General features: G+C 35.9%; 1 annotated feature.

Moving 5' to 3' along the window:
• Window positions 2,679–2,878: an enhancer, noted in NCBI's record as "active region_24735". NCBI's record gives its function as "activates an Ori minimal core promoter by ATAC-STARR-seq in GM12878 lymphoblastoid cells {active_cell/tissue: GM12878}" and the evidence as "EXISTENCE:reporter gene assay evidence [ECO:0000049][PMID:35858748]".

The raw sequence follows: 4,744 nt of genomic DNA, 5'->3' as shown, positions 1-4,744 counted from the left end.
GATCATAGCTCACTGCAGCCTCCAACTCCTGGGCTCAAGTGATCCTCCTGCCTCACCTTTTCACATTCCACCTGCTGGGATTACAAGTGTGAGTCACCACACTGGGCCTGAAACAGAGACTTAATGTCCCAATCATGGCCACTGGATACTGAGAGAAAAATTTCTGTGTATGGATGGGAAGGGTGAGGCTTGGTAGGCATAGCTTTTGAGACAGGAAGAGGAAGCCCCTCTTTTCTCCTCCAGATTGTGATTTGGGGAAAGCCAGGAGAATCTCAGAGTCCTGCCACTCAAAACTAACCATCCTATATAATGCATCAAAATCTCATTATTTTTATTTTTATTTATTTTATTTATTTATTTGAGATGGAGTCTTGCTCTGTTGCCCAGGCTGGAGTGCAGTGGTACAATCTTGGCTCACTGCAACCTCCACCTCCTGGGTTCAAGCGATTCTCCTGCCCCAGCCTCCTGAATAGCTGGGATTACAGGCACATGCCACCACACCCAGCTAATTTTTGTATTTTTAGTAGAGATGGGATTTCACCATGTTGACCAGTCTGATCTCGAACTCCTGACCTTGTGATCCGCCTGCCTTGGCCTCCCAAAGTGCTGAGATTACAGGCGTGAACCACCGTGCCCGGCCATCATTATTTTTAATAGATCTATAATGTCCCATATTATTACCATATCATAATTTATTCAACTATTCCCTCTGTAATGAACATTCAACTTGTTTTCAGGTTTTTGCCACCTGAAAAATCACCTGTTTATTACAGAGCTTTTACTTTATAAGTAATAAACCCTTTAATAGACATGTGTTTATGTACTGGTAATTCCTCAATTGGGATTGCTAAATAAAAGTGTATGATGTTTTAAATTGTAATAGCCATTTCCAGTTTAATTTCTAAAAAGGTTTGAGCAAGTCACACTCCCAGCAGCTAAGTAGAGGGCCTACTTCACTAATGTTGGACAGTGTTTTCTTCTTTAAATTTTTGCTTATCTGGTGTGTGAAATATTCCATCTAATTTTCTTATATTTTTCATTTCCTTGATTCACTAGTGAAAATACAATGTTTGTGGCCCATTTTCTTTTCTTTATTTACAACTTCTTTTAGTAGTCATTTGTACATTAGGAATATCACTTACATGTCTTCTGATGGCATTCTGACTGCATATATTTTTCCCAATCCATTGTTTTGTATAAGATATGTCTTCAAATACACACAAATACACACACACAGTCATGCACTGCATAATGACATTTCAGTTAATGATGGGCCTCTTTTACGACGGTGTTCCTGTAAGATTATTGGTCCTATAAGATTATAATACTGTATTTTTGCACTACCTTTTCTATATTCAGATATGTTTACATATTAAAAACTTACCACTGTGTTACAATTGCACACAGTATTCAGTAAAGACACAAGCTGCAAAGGTTTATAGCCTAGAAGCAATAGGCTATGCCATATAGGCATGTAGTAGGCTATACCATCTAAGTTTGTGTAAGCACTCTATGATGTTTGCACAGTGGTGGAATCACCTCATGATTTATTTCTCAAAATGTATCCCCATTGTTAAGTAATGCATGACTATATATGTATATATGTACACACACATATATATATATTCCTTCATTCTAATCCAGTTAAATATAACCATGTTTTCTTGCTAAGTTTCCTACCTACCTTAACATCTCTCTTGACCAAAATTGTACACGTATTTTTAAATATTTTGTTTTATTTTTAATTTTTACATTTTGTTTATATTAAAATTTCATTTAAAGATAGGGTCAAGGAGGAACCCCCTAGAAGCTGATGAGCCTTGTAAGTTCCAGTAGTTTCCAACTCATCTTTAGGTCATTTCTTCCTCACAAATCATTCCTTTCTCATGCAAATATTTCTCCTGTTTCCATCAATATACTTGGAAATAACAAACCACTTTTCTTTTAAAATAGTGAATCCAAAATTTGTATCGAATTTCCCCCAATTAATTAAAAGAAATTTACTTCAACAAGCACTCTCTATTGCTGTCTGCTGTGCATCGGGTGTTGGGGAAACATTGGCAGAGATACAGAAAGGGGAAAATGTGACATGGCAGTTTTCCATAGGGCACTTCCAAACTTGATAAGATATTCTTTTTCAGACCAAAGCTCTACAAAGTTTACAGTTCAATTTTATATCAAGGGACCAATTTTTCACACACGAATCATCATTTAAAATTTGGTGGTGAAAAGGGAAATGGCAGAAAAATTTTGTGGAGTGGGGGTTGTCTCTTTTGTTCTCTTGTGGGAAACACAAAAAACAAAATAAAATGTGACTGTTGCTTCCTTCCCCCACATCCCAAACTCTATGTGGTTTAGAGGAAGGAAGTGTTCAGGAGAGAAATCAGTTTCCTAAAGTTTTAACCAAAAGACTTAGGGGATTGAATTTTTTTCTAAAATAACAACTGCAAACGGATATTTATATAAAGAGTTAGGTCAAACCTAAGAACTAAGAGTTTATTTTTAGATTTCTGCTTGGCCAAGGGGGAAATATGGTAAATGAGCCTCATGTTCTTAAATGGGCATGCAATGGAACTCAAAAGATTTCAGAAATCTGAGAAAATGCTCTTAAGAGCATCAGTTTCTGTAGGCATTATTAGAAACCCCTAGACAATAACAATATTACTACGGGTTTTCTTCCTTCCCCGCCGGCCCCCAAAGTTACTTTCAGTTTTAGTGCTCTGGTCTCTACATTCTTGAAGATACCAAAACAAAAAGAATAAAGATTATGTAAACATAGAAGATATAAATAGAATGTCAAGTGACTTTAGCTGCACAGATGGTGAAGCTGTGCTTTCTGTGGGGCAGCCACCAGCCCTGTGTGGCTATGAAGCATTTAAATGTGGCAAGTCCAGATTGAGATCTGCAGAAGCATTTAGTACACATTGGATTTAAAAGTGAAGTATGAAAAAATACAAAATATCTCATTAAAATGTTTATATTGATTACATATTGAAATGGTCATACTTTAGACATAGTTGGTTCTATAAAAATATATTATTAAAATTAATTGCACCCATTTCTTTTTTCCTTTTTTAAGTGTGACTACAAGAATATTTAAAATTGCATCTGTAACTCAGAAAATCTTTCTGTTATATAACAGTGGTACAGTACTGGAATTAAGAGCTGGGCTCTGAAGTAAACCTACCTGGATTCATAGTTGGGCTACTGACACACAGGCCAGATGACCTTGGGTAAGTTCCATAGGCAATCTGTGCATCAAATTTCATATTTATAAAACTATGAAGGATAAAAGCTTTCCTATTTCAGAGGGCTGTTTGAGCATAAAGCGTTCAGAGCCTGGCACGGTATAAGAATTCACTAAGGCTTCGTTCTGTTATTTTTACTTCAGAATCCAAAAAAGCAAACACTTTTTTTCTGTAAGAGAGAAGCTCTAAAAATAAACAACAAAAAAAAATTAAAATCAGAAATTTATGCTTCCCCCACCTTCCTTCCCCATTCTTTGCAGCCAACTTATTACATTGAGGAAAAAAATCAAACTATCCTTCTAAAACAAAATATTTTCAAGATGCGAGATTGTCTGTTAGGCATTTTTTACCCCCCATAGCTGTGCCCAGTTCTCTGAGAAGACGAATGCAATTAGAGAAAACTATAGATTTTTCCTTTCTATTAATACATCTCATACAGAATTATTGGCTGTAGTATTGGATCTGACTTTAGAAAAAAATAAGAGCATGTATCTGATGCCCCTGACATCATGGAAGTGAGCCTGAAAACAATAATAGTTACAAGGCACAACTTGAAGTTATTGTGGGTTCAGTTCTAGACCACTGCAATAAAATAGACATCACGATAAAAGGAGCCATACTATTTTTTTTGTTTCCCAGTGCATTTAAAAGTTATGTTTATACTATACTGCAATCTATTAAGTGTGCAATAGCATTATGTCTAAAAAATGTACTTACCTTAATTTTAGAATACTTTATTGCTAAAAAATTCTAATGATCATCTGAGCTTTGAATGGGTCCTAATCTTTTGCTGGTAAAGGGTCATGCCTCGACGACCACTGCTGATCAGGATGGTGGTTGCTAAAAGTTGGGGTGGCTACAGCACTTTTTAAAAATAAGGCAACAATGAAGTTTGTCACATTGATTGAATTTCCCTTTCACAAAAGATTTCTCTGTAGTGTATGATGCTGTTTGATAACATTTTACCCACAAGAGAACTTCTTTCAAAATTGGAGTCACTCCTCTTAAAACCTGCCACTGCTTTATCAACTAAGTTTATGTAATATTCCAGATTCCTTGTTGTCATTTCAACACTGTTCACAGTATCTTCACCAAGAGTAGATTCTATCTCAAGAAACCACTTTCTTTGCTCAGCCATAAGAAGCAACTTCTTATCCATTCAAGTTTTAACATGAGATTGGAGGAATCCAGTCCAATCTTCAAGCTGAACTTATAATATCAGTTCTCTTGCTATTTCCACCACATCTACAGTTCCTTCCTACACTGAAGTCTTGAACCCTCAAAAGCATCCACAGAGGTTGAAATCAACTTCTTCCAAACTTCTGTTAATGTTGATATTTTGACCTCCTCCCATAAATTATGAATGGTCTTTCTGACATCTAGAATGGCAAATCCTTTCCAGAAGGTTTTCAATTTGCCCAGATTCATCAAGAAATCACTATCTATGGCAGCTATAGTCTTATGAAATGCATTTCTTAAAAAATAAGACTTGAAAG

Source organism: Homo sapiens, chromosome 6, assembly GCF_000001405.40.
Source record: "Homo sapiens chromosome 6, GRCh38.p14 Primary Assembly".
Taxonomy (NCBI): Eukaryota; Metazoa; Chordata; class Mammalia; order Primates; family Hominidae; genus Homo; species Homo sapiens.
Note: the sequence above shows the minus strand (reverse complement) of the source record. Positions and strands in the feature narration are given on the sequence as shown.